The 19,731-nt window shown below is 40.1% G+C and overlaps 1 long non-coding RNA gene across 1 annotated transcript in view, besides 1 other annotated feature; it reads left to right on the top strand.

Annotated features, from left to right (window-relative positions):
- LOC102724945 (uncharacterized) overlaps nt 1–19,731 on the top strand; it is a 244,858-nt gene that overhangs the window by 185,818 nt on the left and 39,309 nt on the right. The gene's annotated exons all lie outside the window — the stretch shown is intronic.
- Nucleotides 3,767–3,936: an enhancer, noted in NCBI's record as "active region_8245". NCBI's record gives its function as "activates an Ori minimal core promoter by ATAC-STARR-seq in GM12878 lymphoblastoid cells {active_cell/tissue: GM12878}" and the evidence as "EXISTENCE:reporter gene assay evidence [ECO:0000049][PMID:35858748]".

Raw genomic sequence — 19,731 nt, 5'->3', positions numbered from 1 at the left:
CGGGTGTGGTGTCTCACACCTGTAATCCCAGCACTTTGGGAGGCCGAGGTAGGCAGATCACTTGAGTTCAAGAGTTTGAAACCAGCCTGGCCAACATGGTGAAAGCCGATCTCTACTAAAAATACAAAACAATTAGCCAGGCATGGTGGTGCACGCCTGTAATCTCAGCTACTTGGGAGGCTGAGGCAGGAGAACTGCTAGAACCTGGGAGGTGGAGGTTGCAGTGAGCTGAGATTGCGCCACTGCACTCCAGCCTGGGCGATAGAGCAAGACTCCATGTCAAAAAAAAAAAAAAAGAAAATTAATAGTTGTATGATATGTGAATGCCATCTCAACAAAGCTGTTTTTTTATGAAATTATAGAAAAGACAGGTAAACAATGGGAATAAAATCAAAATCACCAATAATCCCAGTTCCCAGAGATAAACCACCAATAGCATGATTTGTTTTACTATAATTTTCACTGTGTAAATGCAAAACTGAAGTGATGCAATAGTGTTGAAATCTCCCTTTCCTTTTCTTTCTTCCTTTCTTTCTTTCTTTCTTTCTTTCTTTCTTTCTTTCTTTCTTTCTTTCTTTCTTTCTTTCTCTTTCTTCTTTCTTTCTTTCTTTCTTTCTCTCTCTCTCTCTTTCTTTCTTTTTTTGAGACATGATCTCACTCTGTCACCCAGGCTAGAGTGCAGTGGCACAATTGTGGCTCACTGCAACCTTGAACTCCTGGGCTTATGCTACCCTCCCACCTCAGCCTCCCAAAGTGCTGAGATTACAGGTGCATGCCACTATGCCTGGCTCCCTTTTCATTTAATGTATTATAAACATTAAATATTCCTCTGCCTCCGCGTAGTGTTCTGCTGTATAAATGTTTTATAACATACTTAAGCAACCCTCTATTTTTGGATATCTAGGCTGTCTCCAAGTTTTTGATAATGTTTTTGATAGCTGTCTAATGAGCATCCTTGTAGCTATATCTTTGAGCATATCTGTGATTATTTCTGAATAAATTTCTAGATATCTAGTCATTGAATCAAAGAATATGCACCCATCTAAGGCTTTAAAACACACATGACTCTGTGTCTGTGTGTGTGTGAGTGTGTGTGTATCACATAGGAAATAAATATTAGAAATCACATATTCAGATATGCTTATGGCTGCCAGAGTTTTGCGCTTCCTGGTTGTTGTTCATCCTTAATGTAATGAGAATAGTAATGGGGAACAACGGATGTTATATTCTCTCTCTCTGGTATGAGGTATGCTGGGAATTCCATGAAGACCATTTCTTCATGGTCCATTCCATTTCTTCATTCCATGAAGAACCTTCAGGAACATTCTTCCGTAGATTCTTAATGAAGCTAAACATTGTTTCAAATGATTATTGTCCACTAAATATAAATAAATATAAATATATTTATAATATTTATTATGTATCTAGATAAATACATATACATATATTTGTATATGTTCATATAAATAATACTTATATAATATATGTGTATATATAATAAATTTGAATCAATACCTTTTAGAAGGTATATATGTAGATGTATATATACACACACGCACTCACACTACATTTATACTAGCAGTGTATATCCTTGCACTTATTTTTATATACATTCCCCAACATTAAGTATTTAAAATTTTTCTTTCCAATTGCTCTAGTGAAAAATGACATCTTATACTTGTTATAATTTGTACTCCTTAGATTCTTAATGAAGTTTAATGTTGTTTCAAATGATTATTGGCCATTTCAAAATTATTTATGTCCTTTGACATAATTTTTTTCTTGTTTATCTTTTCATTAATTTGTAAGATTTTAAACAATTGAATATGGCTATTAGTTCTTTGTTATCTTTTTTATTTGAGTTAAACAAAAAACTCCACTGAAATGAAAGTGATGCACATTTTTCTTTAAAAGAAGAGCAATTCAATTTTAACTTTAAAAGAAGTTAAAATCAGTTACAGGTAAACAAAGCGTACCCCTGACCGCATACACCTGGTGTGTATATAGGTTTAACTTTGTACATTCCTGAGTTGCTTTCTGGAAAACACTTCCAAATGAAAAGCCAGATACCATCATCTTTACAAGTAACTGTGATGTTATTTTGAGATAAATTATTACTTTAAGTTAAACAAAGGAAAATTACCATTTTTGAGCATTAGCCAATCTTATAATCTCCCTTTCCAAAGAAGCTTAATTCAAACTATTTTTAAAGGTTAGTTTATGCTTTCTTTTAATTCAGCGGCTTCATGGGTGCCATATTTTTTCTCCATTTTAGCAGTAATCTAAATTGAGACAAACATAGGTCAGAATTTTGAACTCAAAGATAAATAAAAGGAATTCCAAAGACTGAATGATCTGCTAGACTGGCCGCTTTAGTAAATTTTGATGTTTGATACCATATTCCTCTTCTCCAGGAGAATGTCATGAACCTGGGAGGCAGAGCTTGCAGTGAGCCAAAATTGTGCTACTGCACTTCAGCCTGGGTGACAGAGTGAGACTCCATCTCAAAAAAAAAAAAAAAAAAAAAAAAAGAATTGTGAAATGTATGTGTAATTTTAAAAAATTATAATAGTAATTACTTCTTTTTAGTCACTGGCAGTAAGTCTCTTATTAACTAATGGAGATAATGATGGCAACTTCTTAACCCAAAAAGTAATTAAACGGCTCTGTTAAGTCCCCCTAATCTGGAAGAGGTCTGCTATCTTTACGCAGAGCAACACTGTCACTTGTTTCCAGATTGTGGGGTGAGAGTGAGGATAATTCTTTAAGTGATGAAGTTGGTTGTTTCCCATCTGTTGTGCCTCAGACACAGGCCTCCTTCTCTCTACCAATCACAAATATAAAACCTCTGCCCATAATTTGACCATCTGGATTTCCTGTCATCCCCTGTTTTCACACCTGGAGATTCAGAGCAGTTCTTTGATTGATGTTTTTCAAAATTGCCTCATAAAATCAAAGGACAGGCGAACAACATTTTTCTAAAATTGTAAACAGTAGAACCAACATTCAAAACTTTTGTTACTGCTTTTATAACCGTGAATAACCTTAGCTTCTGGGATTTTGTCAGAAGTGCTTTTTTTCTTTCTCTGAAGCAAGCCACCACATTCTCCCGAGCTGCTTGCATTTAACAATGTCAGGACTAAGATTCAAGTAGTGGGCCACGGTAGTCCCAGGAAGTTCAATATCAAGCACAATGAGTTCTGTATTCAACTTTAATTAAAATATCCACATGCAGCAGGGCGTGGTGGCTCACGCCTGTAATCCCAGCACTTTGGGAGGCTGAGGCAGGTGAATCACCCGAGGTCAGGAGTTGGAGACCAGTCTAGCCAACATGGTGAAACCCTGTCTCTACTAAAAATACAAAAAAAAATTAGCTGGACATGGTTGTACGAGCCTGTAATCTCAGCTACTTGGGAGGCTGAGGCAGGAGAATCACTTGAACCCAGGAGGCGGAGGTTGCAGTGAGCCAAGACGGCGCCACTGAACTCCAGCCTGGGCAACACAGCGAGATTCCGTCTTCAAAAAAACAAAACCAAACAAAACAAAATCCACATGCTCATGGTTTGCCTTCTCTTAGGGAGCCAAATACTACCTAAGTTTTGTCAGCTGGCAGGCTCTGCTAATAGAATGTCACTTAAAACACCACTTTGAATCTAAGGGCAATGCAATGCATTATTCTGAACTATTACTAAATTAGTTATTCCTCAAGCAGCAATTTGCCTATTTTTGCTCTTACCTAATTTTTAGGAGGAATGATAGACAAACATTAAGCATTGGTTTCTCTCTAGATCCCGTCAGTTTCCTCAAACACAGTAGTCTCCTCTGTTAGACCCTGGTGTGCTGCTGGGAATTACTGGGACTCACTGGCCAGCTGCTGTCTCTTCTCTGCGGACCTCTTTGCTTTTAGGGAGCAGGAAACTAATTCCTCTAAGTGTTATACACTTGGAGACCCTTTAGCATGAACAACGGTGAAGAAACAGAAGCTCTCGTTGCTTTCCTGCATCAGACAAAAGGCTGTGGCCACTTAAATACCACATTTTTACTTCCTTTTTAGTTCAGTTGAGGGAGCAGGTGCAACCCTGCAGCAAGATAAAGCTGACCCTTGCTAAGATTGTAGTGTCTGCTAAATGTACGCCAGCAAGGCAAGGCCTTGTAAACAATAATTAATAAATTTGAAAGGCCCAGGACACGAGAAGAAAATTAAATACAAGATTTGGACCATCCACTTTGACTCATGTGGCATTGCTAATCAGTGTGATGAAAAAAACCTTCATCTGTTAAGAATGTGGCATTTGAAACACATTGCTGCCTTGTTGGTAGGTTTACTTCCTCCTTTCTTTGTAAAGCTTCACAATGAGTATCCCAGTGTGAAACTGGAACTCAGTGTGGGGAAAGAGGACGGGTGGAGGAACCGTCATGTTATTAAGTTATTGCAAATATAGAGACTGGTGATTTCACACGTACACATTCCACATTACAGGAAGCTCACACGTCTAGGAAAAATCATCCCTTGTTGACCCCTCACCGCCAAATTTTCCATTACCTACCTCGAAAATCTCAACGTCCCAAATGGCTTGCTTATTTTTATCATGTCAATTGCTTTTCTATAGTAAAGTAAGAATACGGTCACTTGAATTTCAAGAATAAGAAAGCAATCTACATGAATTAAACAAATCTAAAGGACAAAAGAGATTTTTTCTGAGTCACTTGCAGATGATGATGTTCCTCCTTCACTCCACAGAGCTTCCTTAGTGATTGTCAAAAAACAAAAAAGAAACCAAAGTAACCTTGAGGTAGGGCCGTGGAAAATTTTACCCACTTCATTTGTTCACAGTTGTTCATTCCTTCTCATTTCTTTTCATTTTTTTAATAGAAAATGTTTACTTCTAACTTACTTTTCTAGTATAATAAGTAATCTCTAAACAAAAGCTTATAAAAATTCAAACACTGGCCGGGCGCAGTGGCTCACGCCTGTAATCCCAGCACTTTGGGAGGCTGAGGCGGGCGGTTCACTTGAGGTCGGACATTCGAGACCAGCCTGGCCAACATGGTGAAACCCCGTCTTTACTAAAAATACAAAAAATTAGCCATCCGTGTTGGTGCATGCCTGTAATCCCAGCTACTCGGGAGGCTGAGGCAGGAGAATCACTTGAATCTGGGAGGCGGAGGCTGTGGTGAGCCAAGATCAAGCCATTGCACTCCAGCCTGGGCAACAAGAGCAAAACTCTGTCTCAAAAAGAAAAGAAAAAAAAATTCCAACACTATAAAGGTATGTAAATTAAAAACCATCCACTTCCTGCCCCATCCTGCTTACCTCCCCGGAGTAATCGCTGTTGATCTTTTGGTGTGTGTTCTTCCAGCCACGTTTACTTTTTACATGTTTGGTAAGGCAGAGTCTGTGAGGGCTCCTATGAATCCTTGACAACACAGTAAGGAAGGACAGGCAGCTGGGTGGGGTTGCTTATGCCTCTCGTCTCAGCCCTTTGGGAGGCCAAGGCAGGACTGATTGCTTGAGGTCAGGAGTTTGAGACAACTCGAACAGCCTGGGCAACATAGTGAGACCCATATCTTTACAAAAAAAAGTTTTTTTAATTAGCTGGGCATGGTGGCATGTGCCTATAGTCCTAACGACTCCAGGGGCTGAGGAAGGAGAATCACTTGAGCCCAGGAGTTCAAGGCTGCATTAAGCTATGATGAATCTCCAGCCTGGGTGACAGAGTGAGACTCTGTTTCTAAAACATAAAAAAAATAAATAAAGGAAACACAGGCAAGGAAGGAACTGACTATGAATGGGCATATTTACAAAAAAAATTCATGAAGTAAAGGGGAAGGGAGGAAAGAGAGAGTTGAACTGGGGAAGAGAGAGATGAGAAGAAAGATGTACCTGCTTTCTCCTGTCTTGGGGAGTCAGCTCCTTGAGGGTAGGATTTCTGTCTTAAGCAGCTTCTTCTTCACACTAGAAGAATACCTACTAACTAGGTGGTGATGAATGAATGAATACGAATGAAGAGCAGGAACTAACTGGCTACTGTTAGCAGAGTTCACGGAAATAATTTTAGGCTTTTTCAGTTTATCAAAGCCTTGTTAAGCCGGTATTTTCTGTCTTTACCTTTGATTTTTCGTCAGTAAGCAACCAGCATGTGCTGCTTTCAGGGTTAGTACCACAAGTAGTTGTTGCTCTAAATTGAGCTAATATTAAAGATAAAAACCCTTCTAGAAGGAATCTGTACTCAGAAAAGGAAGTTTTAAACCATTAGCTCACTGGGGGATACTACTTGAAACATCATTAAGACAAAGTAGCTTCCAGGCCCACTGCCTCCTTTTGGGGAAAAGGGACCACAGGGAATTCTCTAGCCTTCGATATCCACTTCCCCCACCATTTTGGCGACGAATGGTTGAACCAGGAATTAACAACTGACCAAAAGACACACTGCTTTAGGCTTTTAGCCCCTAGGAGGTGGCCTAAGGTGGCACTGGATAGGGACTTTCTGAACCAGTCAAAGCCACTCTTGGGGGATTTGAACTAGGGACAGAGATGAACAGAGAGTTAGAGAAAAGCAGACAACTGATAGACAGCAGTCCAGTGTTGACACAGAAACTGAGAGACGTGGAAAGAAGGCAGTGAGCAGACACTATGAAGCAAGTAATGACTTCAGTAGAAGAGGATATGAATGGAGGCATAGAAAGGCATCTGCTAGCAGAAGATTAAGAAGAAGCAGCAAGTAGAGAAAGGACTCAGTGGAGGAGATGCTTCAGAAATGGCAGGCTGCTGGAGAAACTGCTGCTTCATCCTGAACCACGTTCCAGTTCTCCATGAGGCCTCACATGTAGCCCCAGAAACCATTTTCTTTGCTTCCTCAAGCCTCCTAAGTATCTTTATCCTGGAGTAAACGAGAAGGTCTCCATATTTTGCAACTTGAAAAACCCCCGTTCTAAAACGAGCAGGTTGTCTAGAGAGAACCATGAGCGTCCCTTCTGTTGTAATTTGAGAGGAGTATTGTAAAAAGACACATAGACCACCTGTGGGGAGCTTCACATGGTGGCCAGTGCTTTGCTGGGGTGACCACAATTCAGTTCTTGTTTTTTGCATTGTAGCTCTTGAAATTTGATTTAATCTGTGCAGCCAGTGTTGACTTACCCCAACTAGGAGATTTATAGATAATCTAATATGCAGATGTATAATGTGAGGCCAAACTTTCCAGACATAGGGATCTCTTTCTATAGTTTTTGATACTGTTGAATATCTTCTTATCAAAACTCTCGTTAGAGTTTTTACCGTTTTTCTTTTTTTTTTTTTTTTTTAGCATTACTTCTCTTTTTCCACTTTTGGGACCAAAAATATATCTAATTCTTGCTGTTTGTCCTTCATCTGCCTTTATTATCTCCTTGTTCTCCTTGGAAATACCCTCCACTGCCATGGTTCTCCTCTACCCCAGTGATATCTATCCATACAGCCCTCTCCACTCTAACACCCTGCCATATTTTCAAATCTCCAGGGGACATATTCACCTGAAAATCTCATCAGCCTCTCGAATTTAATGAGTTCAAAATGGAAATTATTTTCTTTCTCCGCAAAATTCTTCCTCCCGTGTTCCAACCCCTTCTCTAAAAATAGAACCTCAGTGAGCCAGTCCAAAGCTCGGGATTCTTTTTACTTCTTTTGCAACTCTATACCCAATAGCTATGATCACAAAGTCCTGGCAATTCCACCTATATAATATGAATTTCATTCATCTCTCTCTGTGTTCATTACGCAATGTGCATAGCAAATTGTGCCAAAACTTGGCAGCTTAAAATATGTCCATTATTTCATACAGGTTGTGAAGGCTGGGAATCTGAGAGTGGCTTAGCTTAGCTGATCTCTCATGAAGTTGTAGGCAAGTTGTTATCTGGGGCTGCAGTCATCTTAAAGGTTGACTACGGATGGAGAACCACTTTTAAGATCACTCATGATCAATGCCATTTTTTATAGAATTAGAAAAACTGGCCAGGCCGGGTGGCTCATGCCTGTAATCTCAGCACTTTGGGAGGCTGAGGTGAGTGGATTGCTTGAGCCCAGGAGTTTAAGACCAGCCTGGGCAACATGGCAAGACCCTATCTCTAATATTATTTTAAAAATTTTAAAAACTATTTTAAAATTCATAGGGAACAACAACAAAAAGAGCCCAGATAGCCAAAGCAATCCTAAATGAAAAGAACAAAGCCAGCAGCATCACATTATTCAACTTTAAACTACACTACAAGGCCACAGTAACCAAAACAGCATGGTGCTGGTAGAAAAATAGAGACATAGACCAATGGATCAGAATAAAGAAGGCAGAAATAATGCAGCATACCTGCAACCAATGGATCTTCAACAAAGTCCACAAGAAAAAGCAATGAGGAAAGGACTCCTAGTCAAGAAATAGTGCTGGGAAAACTGGCTAGCCACATGCAGAAGAATGATACTGGACCCTTATGTTTCACCATATACAAAAATTAACTCAAATGAATTAAAGACTTTGTAAGACCTCAAACTATTAAAATCCTAGAAGAAAACCTAAGAAATACTCTTCTGGACAATGGCCTTGGCAAGGAATTTATGACCAAGTTCTCAAAAGCAATTGCAACAGAACCAAAAATTGACAAGTGGGACCTAATTAAACTAAAGCTTCTGCATAGCAAAATAACCCATCAACAGAGTAAATAGAGAATCTATAGAATGGAAGAAAATATTCATATACTATGCATCTGACAAAGAATTAATATCCAGAATCTGTGAAGAACTTAAACAAATCAACAAGGAATAAATAACTCCATTAAAAAGTGGGCAAATCGGGAGTTTGAGGTTGCAGTGAGCCATGATCATACCACTGCATTCCAGTCTGGATAACAGAGCAAGACCCTGTTTAATTAAAAAAAAAAAAAAAAGTGAGCAAAGGTCATGAGCAGACACTTCTCTAAAGAAGACATACAAGTGGCCAAAAAATATGAAAAAATGCTCACCATCACTAATTACCAGATAAATGCAAATCAAAACCACGATGAGATACCATCTCACGTTAGCCAGAATGGCTATTATAAAAAAGTAAAAAAAAAACAAAACCCAGCAGATTCTGGTGAGGCTGCAGAGTGGGAACATAAATTACTTCAGCCACTGTGGAAAGCAGTTTGGAGTTTTCTCACAGAACTTAAAACTAAACTACCATTCAACCGTGCAATCCCATTACTGGGTATACACCCCAAAGAAAATAAATCGTTCTACCAAAAAGACGTATGCACTCGTATGTTCATCTTGGCACTGTTCACAATAGCAAAGACATGGAATCAACCTAGGTGCCCATCAATGGCTGATGAGATGAAGAAAATATGGTATATATACATCATGGAAAACTACACAGCCATAAAAAGAATGAAATTATGTCCTTTGCAGCAACACGGATGTGGCTGGAGGCCATTATCCTAAGCGAATTAACATAGAAACAGAAAACCAATTATCTCATGTCCTCACTCATAAGTGGGAGCTAAATCTTGGCTACACGCAGACATAAGATGGCAACAATAGACGCTGGGGACTTCAAAGTTTGGGGGGTAAGGGCTGGAAAACTTTCTATTAGGTACTATGTTTACTATTTGGGTGACACGACTAGTAGAAGCCCGAACCTCAGCACCAAGCAAAATATCCTTGTAACAAACCTGCACATGTACTCTCTGAATCTAAAATTAACATGGAAATTAAAGAAAAAAAATCACTCATTGTTGTAAGCAGATCTCAGTTCCTTCCTGGCTATTGGCTGGAGGCTTCAGTTCCTCACCATGGACTTCTCTACAGGGCTTCTCACCACATGACAGTTTACTTTCCCCACTTGGGGAGGGGTAGTGGGAGAGGAGGAGGAGTGGGTTGGGGGAGAACGTATGTGCTCAGGGTGGTAGCTGCAGTCCTCTTTAGAACCTAATCTTGGAAGTCACACACTATTACTTTTACCATATTCTGTTTGTTAAAAGGAAACAGCTAAGTCTAGCCTACACTCAAAAAGAAGGAATTAAGTGAGAAGTGTCCTTATGGACATATTTTTGAAACTACCACCCCCTCTTCTTCATTTCTGCTTCTGTAATCCTCTTTCAGTCCCCATCATTTCTTACCGGTATTTGTGCTTGACATAAAGACCAAGATCCTTAATATCGCCTACAGGGTTCATGTTATGTCTGTTTCTGCATTGCCACTGTATTCTATTTATCTGTCAGTCTGTTTTTCTCTATTCCTGAGTCTTTTTCTCCCTGTCTATTTCACGTTCAAACTCCCCAAGAGAGAGGCATTGATTGGTTCTGGCAATAACTATCTGGTGTCACTCGAGGTCACCTTATGATGACCTGGCGGAGGAGTCTAAAGGAGCCTGTCTTTTGGCCAGGTGTTGATACCTGGCTCAATCAGTGTGGCCAAGGTGGTGGGTAATTTAACCCTGCCTAACACTTTCTTATCTCAAACCACAATCTCCCAGGCCCCTGGTTCTACCTCCACTGGCCTTTTCCCAGAAGGTTTGGAGTGTCATTTCCCCTCTTGCCACAGAGCCTATGCTCGTCCTGTTCTTCTGCCCAGCAAACTCTTCTCTCCAGCCCACTCGGCCCACTCCTGCATATCTTTACATCTCAGCCCGGTGTCACCTCTTCAGCCTGACTTCCTCACCCCTCCATCTACGTTAAGGTGTCTTACGAGCTCTCAGAACACTCTGCACTTTTCCTTCACAACTCTTATTCGTTCGGTTATTTAACATCTCCTTCCTCCTCTAACCTGAAGCTTCCATGAGGGCAGGGACCATTTTGCCCACAATGTCTGGCACTTGCTATGAACACAGTGATTATTTAAAACACAGGGAATAATTAGTGTTTCTCCAACATTCATGCTTCTCCCTGGCTCAAACACTCTTGGTGGTCCTCTAGCGCGTGCAGGACAGAGCCACAGCTCTTTGGCTTGGTATTCTTGGCCCTTTGGGTAATCCGGGCCCATCTTGCCTTTCTGGTTTCAGTTCTCAGCACTCCTTTTAACAGACCCAAAAGTCTTAACTGCAATGGATTAGTTGCTATTTCCAAAGCGCTCTTTATGCTTTACTCTCTGAATCTTTGCTCACATTGTGCCCTGAATCCTGGAATGAATTCTCCCCACTGGGATTATATCAAAATCTCTTTCTAGAAAAACTTTCACTGTGTTTTTTGTATATTGCTTTTTTTTTTAAAATATAAACAAAGTACTAATTTTAAGAACTTTTCTTACATTAGTTCATTTAATGATTATGACAGCCTACAAGATAAATCCACTTAGTATTCACACAAAGCTTAAATAACTGGTACGGATAAACACCTAGTATGTGTCATAGCTGGAATCGGAACCCAGGTGGTCTGGCTCCAGAGTGCAACTATGGAATCTGCATACTTTCTCTGCTCCTAGACTCTTACTCTTTGAGGGTGGAGGGGGTGTCTTATCCTTCATTTTTTTATCTCCCCTAGGGGCTCACTCCAAGTAGTTTCTAACTAATGTTTAATAAATTAATGACTAGAAACCAGTGCCTCAGGCAGAAAATGATGGAGGAAAGCTGCCTCTGTTCACAAAAAAGCACCTCGTTTTTACTTCTTTGGTTACAAACCCTCAGTCCTTCCTCCCTGGCTTTAAGTATGTAGTTTAATAACTAATGGTATTTTTTTCCTTTTTATGTTCTAAACTTTTTATTATGGGTATTTCCAAACAATGTAAAAATAATAGTATAACTTCCACACACATATCACCTAGCAGAACAATTAGTAACATTTTGCCATGTCTCCTGTACATTTTGCTGAATTAACTTAATTTGAATCATAGATATCATGACATTTCACTCTTAAAAACTCAGAAAATGATGAACTTTCCTTACTCAATTACAACACCATTTTAACCTACAAATTAACAGTAATTTCTTTATTTCATCTTTGCTTAGTCTGAATCCTGTTGCCTCAATGTCCCAAGAATGTCTACTTAAAGTTGGTTTATTCAAATGAGGATTCAAGCCAGGTCCACACACTGTATTCGGTGTTGATGCTCCTCATTGACTGTACATCACTTATACTTTGGAACAGTGTTGTCTAGCCAGGTCCCAGGAATGCAGGTCTGGCAGGGTTCAGGGCACACCCAGGTTGAGACCCCCGAAAAGGGCCACTGGTTCGGAATGTTGGCTGCTCTGGGGACAAGCTGAGATGACCCAACTCTTTCTTCCTAAGCCCTTCCAAGGGTGGGGTTTAGCCTGATCTTCCACTTCCCTACCCCATTTGCCATGCTCTGACCACACTGACCTTCTAGCTCTTGTTGGCTGTACTGAAGACCTTTGAACAGTGGATTCACTGGGCCAGGTGAATATCGTAGGGTCTCCATAAGTCTGCATAGTCAGGTCTGCAGAGTGGTCAGAGACAGAGACTGCTTTTGGATGAGAAAGGTAAAAGGAAGGTTGTAAGGAAGTTTGAAGAATCTGTTCCATGGCATCAACTTGGCCAAGGGGATCTCTACTTTCTGCGCATTCACTATTAAAATGTAGAAAGAGTTCTCAAATTCACTCATCCTTGCTGACAAATCACAAGGAAATTTGAAAGCCCCTCAGATTTCTGTTTTCCAAAATTTCTTCTTTTTAGATGCAGCTCAGAGACTGATGTTAAGAAAAAGAAAAGAAAAGAAAAGAAAAAAGCCTTAGATTCCACACTGAAACTTGTAGACTCAACACAACAAAGAGTCTGTTACAAGGCAACATTAATCTTCTGTAGAATTTCACTAAATAATTTCCTACAGAGATCGCAGCAGTTCCTTCCACAATTTTCTGAGCAAATGTGTTGGAGCCACTTAAGCACAGTGCTTTCCTCATGACGGCAGAGCCCACAGACACTATTTACATGCACCAGTGCCATTTAGACCTTAGCTATAAATTACTGCATAAAGGTTAATAGAACTGAGCCGAGCTTTAGGAAAGACCTTATGCACAAAATTGCCTAATATATTGGTGGTTGATATAGAAATAAACATTGTGGCAGGGATAAAAAAGCAAAGTTCTTTGAATATCGGTGGAAATCCCTATCAATGGAATAGCAGGGCAGAGATGCTAATTCCTAAGGCTTTTTTTTTCAACAGCAGAAAATTCACTTTAAGGTCATTTGTTTCCGACTGCTCTTTTGGCCTTCAATTGATAACACAGTCCATTTAAAATGCCTGCTAGGCTGGGTATGGTGGCGCATGCCTGTAATCCCAGCACTTTGGGAGGCCAGCAGGCAGATCACCTGAGGTCAAGAGTCTGAGACCAGCCTGGGCAACATGGAGAAACCCCACCTCTACTAAAAATACAAAAATTATCTGGGCGTGGTGGCTTGTGCCTGTAATTCCAGCTACCAGGGAGGCTGAGGCACGAGAATCACTTGAACCTGGGAGGTGGAGGCTACAGTGAACTGAGATTGTGCCACTTGCACTCCCACCTGGGTGACAGAGCAAGACTCTGTCTCAAAAAAAATAGAATAAAATAAAGTACGTACTGAACTAGCTCCAAGGTTTTCCTTTGGTGTTAATAAGGTTACTTCCTGTAAGAGTGACGGTCAATAATGTTGGTCAAAGAAGCCCTCCACTTCCCAAATTTTATAAATGTCCAGTGACATCTTTAAGTGAAAAGAGGCAGACCTGCCTTATCTAATGGTTAAAATGGTTTTATTTTAGCAGTCTATGTGTATCAGTTATAGTTCCTATCTGCTTTTGAACAACTGCTGGGAACCTAAAACATTTTTAAGTCCATCATTTTAAAAGGAAACATGACAGGTACTTACTTGGCTTTAAAAATGAATTACAGCTGATTTTATAGTCACTGTGACCATTTCCATGGGAAAGCAAATGGATGAGATTGGTAGGTTAAGTTCTCCTTTTTTTTTTTTTTTTTTGAGTCTAGTCAAACTATGGATCAGAAGGTGTCCACCATATCCAGTTCCCAAACCTTACTGGTTAACTGGACTCACAGGCTTTTAGGAGATTATCACACGTCAGCACAGGAGACTCCAAGGGTGAGTAATGCTGAGCATCTGGCCTCTGGGTTTCGTCCCATAACTGTGAAAACAGTTGCAGTAATGCCCCCACCAATGCTTCCTTCCTCAACGCCCAAGTGTCCAGCTTCATGGGCTGGCAGGGTCAGTTTTCTCCTGCAACACATCCAAACTGAGCCCACGTATTCCATCTGTGCAAATGTGGGTTGTGCTGCAGGATGCAACAACCAGTGAGGCCTGGCAAGTTCCACAGGCATCACTTCACCTCCCGTTATTTTGTAGCATCCTGAAGAGTAGAATGCTGTTCAATAGCTCAGAGGAAGGCACTCCAGTAGGAAGCAGAGAATATAGTCTGAGGGGGAAAGAGTTTCTATAGAAGAATAATTACATATCTGTGCAGCAAGAGAACAACTGTGACTAACACCCCCACAGTCATGAAAGAAGCTCTGAGCTGGTCAAGACCTCAGGTTTCAATTTCATCCCTAAAAGAGTGCATGAGGACCTTTCTTGATTGCTTTTTTTAGACCAGAAAAACAGGCGCATTATAGATTGGAGGCAGAGGAACACTTAAGCCAACTTTGTTATTTTCCAAGGAATCCTTGAACCAGAGATAAGAACAAAAATGGCCGTACTGTGTCAGCTCTAAGTCGCTCAAAGCTAGGTCTGTCTCTGACAGGATTTAGTGTCTCAGGCCAGGGGAGAGCAAATTATCCAACAAAGGATTGATTTTCACCCCAAACATTTTGGTTTCCCAGAACTCATTTTGGATCTGGCATCCCTACATTTATCTGAAAAGTTTAAAGCTTTTAATATTTTCAGCTTCTGTTCTGTTAAAGGATAAAAAGGTCTTAAATTGCATAAAGCAGTTCCTTCCTCCCGTCTCTCTCTTTTTTTTCTTTCCTTGCTTCCTTCTTCCCCACTCTCTTCCTTTCTGTTTCCCTCCTCTCCATCATCCTAAAGCTCCCTCTTTCAAGTTTCAGAGAGGTGCTTCCTGATTCTGATAATCTGGGGTTTAGCAAAAAAAAAAAAAAAAAAAAAATCTCTGCTCCCTTCATGATATTGTGGATTTGATACATATCCTTTCTCAGCTTTTGTCTTTCCACATTTGTCCTACAAGCTGTGAAAACAGCAATCTCAAACCGCACTCACTCTGTCATTTTCTTTAACTATAGCCAGCATTGCTCTCTTTCTGCTTCCTAATTTATTTTCTCATACTACTCAATTTAGGATTTTATGATATGTTGTATTAGTTTTTTATTGCTGCTTTAACAAATTGTCACAAACTTTGTAGCTCAAAACAACACAAATTTATTATCTTGCAGTTCTGCAGGTCAGAAGTTGAACAGGGCTAAAATCCAGATGGCAGGATGGATGAGTTCCCTCTGGAAGCTCTAAAGAAGAATCTGTTTCCTTTCCTTTTCCGCCTTTTGGAGGTGGCCTGCCCTCCTTTGCTGAGGTCCCCTTCCTCCATCGTCAAAGCCAGCAATATAACCTCTTTATCCCACTCCCATAGTCGTTAGTCGTATCTCTTTCTCTAGCTCTCTTCCTCTGCCTCCCTCTTCCACTTTTAAGGATTCTTGTGATTAGAGTGGGCTCACTGGATAATCCAAGATAATCTCCTCATGTTAAGGTCAATGGATGTAGCAATTTTAACTGCATTTGCAACTTTAATTTCCCCTTTGCCATGTAACCTAACATATTCACAGTTCCTGGAACTAGGATGTGGGCATCTTTGCGGGGACGGAGTTGGGGAGGGAATTATTCTGCCTATCACACATATATATATACGTCTTTATAAAACTTCCCCCATTTTGATGTATGAAAATTTTGAGCCAAACAGACTATTGACTTCTTAAAGGCAAATCTGTGGCAAAATGTGTTGTTTTCTTGTATTTTTGGTCTTTCCCATGGCATCTTCAAAAATGCCAGAGCTTAGTAGGATCCTGGTAAATACCTGCCAATGGCTCCCAATGGCTTTGATTACTTGAATCATCATTCTTCTATTTGATTTTGTCTTTCCTGGCAGTTTGCACATACAGAACATTCAGGTGCTGACGCGCTGCGTTTCATACATGTGATAGCTAACGTTCACTGGAAGGAGCTACTGGGAATGCCATCAGAATAGTTTGCATTTAGCTCCTTCACAACTCAACCTTGATTTTCTAGTGGACAAATATATCAAATTAGAAATTGTAGATGTATGCAATGAGAAGAGGACAGGAGAAATCGAGGATAAGTACGGAAGTGTCTTTGTGATTCTTCCACCAACTCCTGGAGACAGATAGTTTCTTTCATGTGACAGTGGAAGCCAGATGACAGACTCAGCTGGAGCTGACAGCCCTTCCTCCCTGGAAAGCCCCAGAACCTCTTTCAGTAGAAAACAACCACAATATTTCCAGCAAATTCCAAAGAAAATCCTGCCACTTCTTTGGAGTTGACCAAAAATGTCACATTCTATCTATAAAACCAAAGGCTTTCTTCCAATAAATAGTTCCAAGAGGAAAGGGAGCCTTTTATTCTTGCTGATCTGCTCTGTCTTCTTGTTTGGCTTGCTTATAAATGTAGGCTTAACTGCAGGCACCACAATTTATTAATTCATTTAACTAAAAACCAACTATTTGTTAGGTACTGTATTGGTCCAACAATCAAAAAACTTTAACAAACATATTTATAGGGATTACTATTTGCCAAGCATTATTCCAAGTGACTAAACCATGCTAACTTGTGCAGTCCTCATAAGAACCCCAAGAAGAAGGTACTGTCACTATGCCTGTTTTACAGATGGGGAAACTGAGGTTCAGAGCAATTAATTCATTTGGCCAAGTAATAAGAGCCAGGATTCTAACCAAGGCTCTGGCTTGGAGTTGTTGCTCAAGATTACTTCACCATGCTGTCTCCCCTTGCAGCCAGTGCCTGCTTACAAAGAAGTTCTAGATTCATGGGGAAGACAACGAAGAAGCAAGAAACAACAAATCGGATTGAATTGTTTTGTACACTGCTGTATCCCCAGCACCTAAAACAGTACCCAAGTGCATAAGCAGGGACTGCATAATTATTTGTGGAATGTTGTTGCAATAAATACTATGAAGTAAACTGATTGGATGAGATGAGAGACTGTCACGGGAACCTACTTAATTCATATGCAGTGGTGAGGGAGGGCCTCTCTGACAGATGACATTTAAGCTAAGACCTAAAGGATGAAAACAAGGGAACCATGAAAAGAGTGTGGAAGAGCATTCAGGCAGAGGGACCAGTATGGTAAGAGGCCCTGAGGTCAGGGGATCCTGGCAGATGTGAGGAATGGAAGGAGCCGGTGTGTGGGAGCGGGGTGTGCACAGGCAGCTGTGGAATGAGATGAAGCAAGTTGTGAGCACAAGCTGGATTATGCAGGGCCTTAGGTCATTAGAATTCACTCTCACAGGGCCGTATAAATGCCATGGAAGAACTCAAAAGGGGGCCCATGGGCCCTGAACACCAGGACCATTCAATTCTTTTAGAAAGACAAGGCAAGGCAAGCAGAAAAAAAGAAGAAGAAGAAGAAGAAGAAGAAGAAGAAGAAGAAGAAGAAGAAGAATGCATTTGAGCCCTTTGGTGAACTTATTTGTTTAGTGAACATCTTCGTTTGTCTTTCCTTCTCTTGTTCATTCCTTTCTTCCTTCCTTTTTTTTTTTTTTTTTTGTTTTCTGAGGCCTTAAAAAACTACTCTTGTATTCTCTTATGATCTTTGGAAGACTTTAACTCAAATCAGGGACTGGCAAATGTTTGATCCATTTGACGGATCTCATATCTATAGTAATTTTAACTATGTTGCAATAGCTCATGAGGCCCTAAAGCTAACATTTCCATTTGTGGTATTTTTTAACAAGGACTAAATTTGGTTTGCTATATTGGTCTATCATCTGGGCTTTGTTTTAAAGCCCTGACTCACAGTTGAACATTGTACAGAAAGACCACACTACTATTTCTAGACTGGTATCTTGGTACAACGGGCTTGATGTCAGCCAGAGAAGTTGAGGAAGGTGAAATGGACTTGTGGAAGTATAACTTTCTCTCTTGTTTTAAAAAATCTTTATTGAAATATAATTTACATACCACACAATTCACCCATTTAGGATATACAGTACAACAGATAAGAGTTGTGTAATTATCACCACAATTAATTTTAGAACATTTCATTATCCCCAAAAGAAATCTTGTACCTACTAGCAATCAATCCCATTTCCCCTCCTCTATTTTCCCAGCCCATTAATCTACTTTCTATCTCTATAAATTTGCCCATTCTGGGCATTTCATATAAATGAAATCATGCAGTTTTTCGTGACTTTTTTCACTTGCATAATGTTTTCAAGGTTCATCCATATTATAGCCTGTGTCAATACTTCATTCCTTTTTTTTTTTTTTTTTGAGATGGAGTTTTGCTCTTGTTGCCTAGGCTGGAGTGCAATGGTGCGATCTCAGCTCACTGCAACCTCCACTTCCTGGGTTCAAGTGATTCTCCTGCCTCAGCCTCCAGAGTAGCTGGGATTACAGGCATGCGCCACTATGCCTGGCTAATTTTGTATTTTTAGTAGAGACGGGGTTTTTCCATGTTGGTCAGGCTGGTCTCAACCTCCCAACCTCAGGTGATCCACCTGCCTCAGCCTCCCAAAGGGCTGGGATTACAGGCGTGAGCCACCGTGCCTGGCCACTTCATTCCTTTTTGTAGCTTAATAATATTTCACTGTTTGAATTACATTTTTGTTTACCCATTTATCAGTTGATGAACATTTGGATTATTTCTACTGTTTGGCTATATGAATGACGCTACTATGAACACTTGTGTACATGCTTTTGTGTATATGTAAGCTTTCATTCTTTTGGGTATATACGTAGGAGTGGAATTGCCAGGCCATATGATAACCCCATGTTTAACACTTTGAGGGACTGCCAGACTATTTTCTAGAGTGGTTGCATCATTTTACATTCCCACCAGCAGTGTATGAAGGTTCCAGTTTCTCAACATCTTCACCAACATTTGTTACTGTGACTGTGACTCTTTGTCTGTGACCTCTCCATTGGAATCCTCAGGCATCTCCATTTCTTCTCCATTCTGCCACTTCCTTTGACCTGGCACATCCTCTGTAACACCAGCAATTTGTATCACTTTCACAATACTCTGGATATATGTCTTGGTGATTAAATGCAAACTGCTTTTCTTACTGAAAAAACTTTACTTCCCAATGGATAAAAGTGAAGGAAGCTAAGTGATATAGGAAGTTCCATAACTCATTCGTCTTCCCCTCATTCTGCAATGAGAAGCTAATGTTGGAGATTAAATAATGGACTTTGTTGATTTCAGTGTGTCTGCTGCTGAATGTGTAAATTCATCCTTTCTCAGATAGTCAGACACAACTAGCTAAGTAGCATCCTAAGTAAAAGTGGTAACATGAGTAATTCTGCCGGGAAATAAGGTCAACCTTTTCAGCCTTTTCTCATGAGATCTGGACTGTGAGCAAGGAGTAAAGAGCTACATAAACCTTGCACCTCAAATAACACTGAAGCTCTGTCCTCCTTGTTCCCTCTAATGCCTGAGCATCCAAGAAATGAAATATAGGACTAGAGATTTTTTTAAATAACCTGGATTTTGTAGAAAGAAAGATCATAATACATTAAGTAAAATATGGTTCCCATGTAAAATTATTCTTTCAAAAACTAGGAATTATATAAATACATGAAATCAGG

Source organism: Homo sapiens, chromosome 14, assembly GCF_000001405.40.
Source record: "Homo sapiens chromosome 14, GRCh38.p14 Primary Assembly".
NCBI classification, from domain to species: domain Eukaryota; kingdom Metazoa; phylum Chordata; class Mammalia; order Primates; family Hominidae; genus Homo; species Homo sapiens.
The sequence above is the reverse complement of the archived record's forward strand: the minus strand, read 5'-3'. Positions and strand labels throughout refer to the sequence as shown.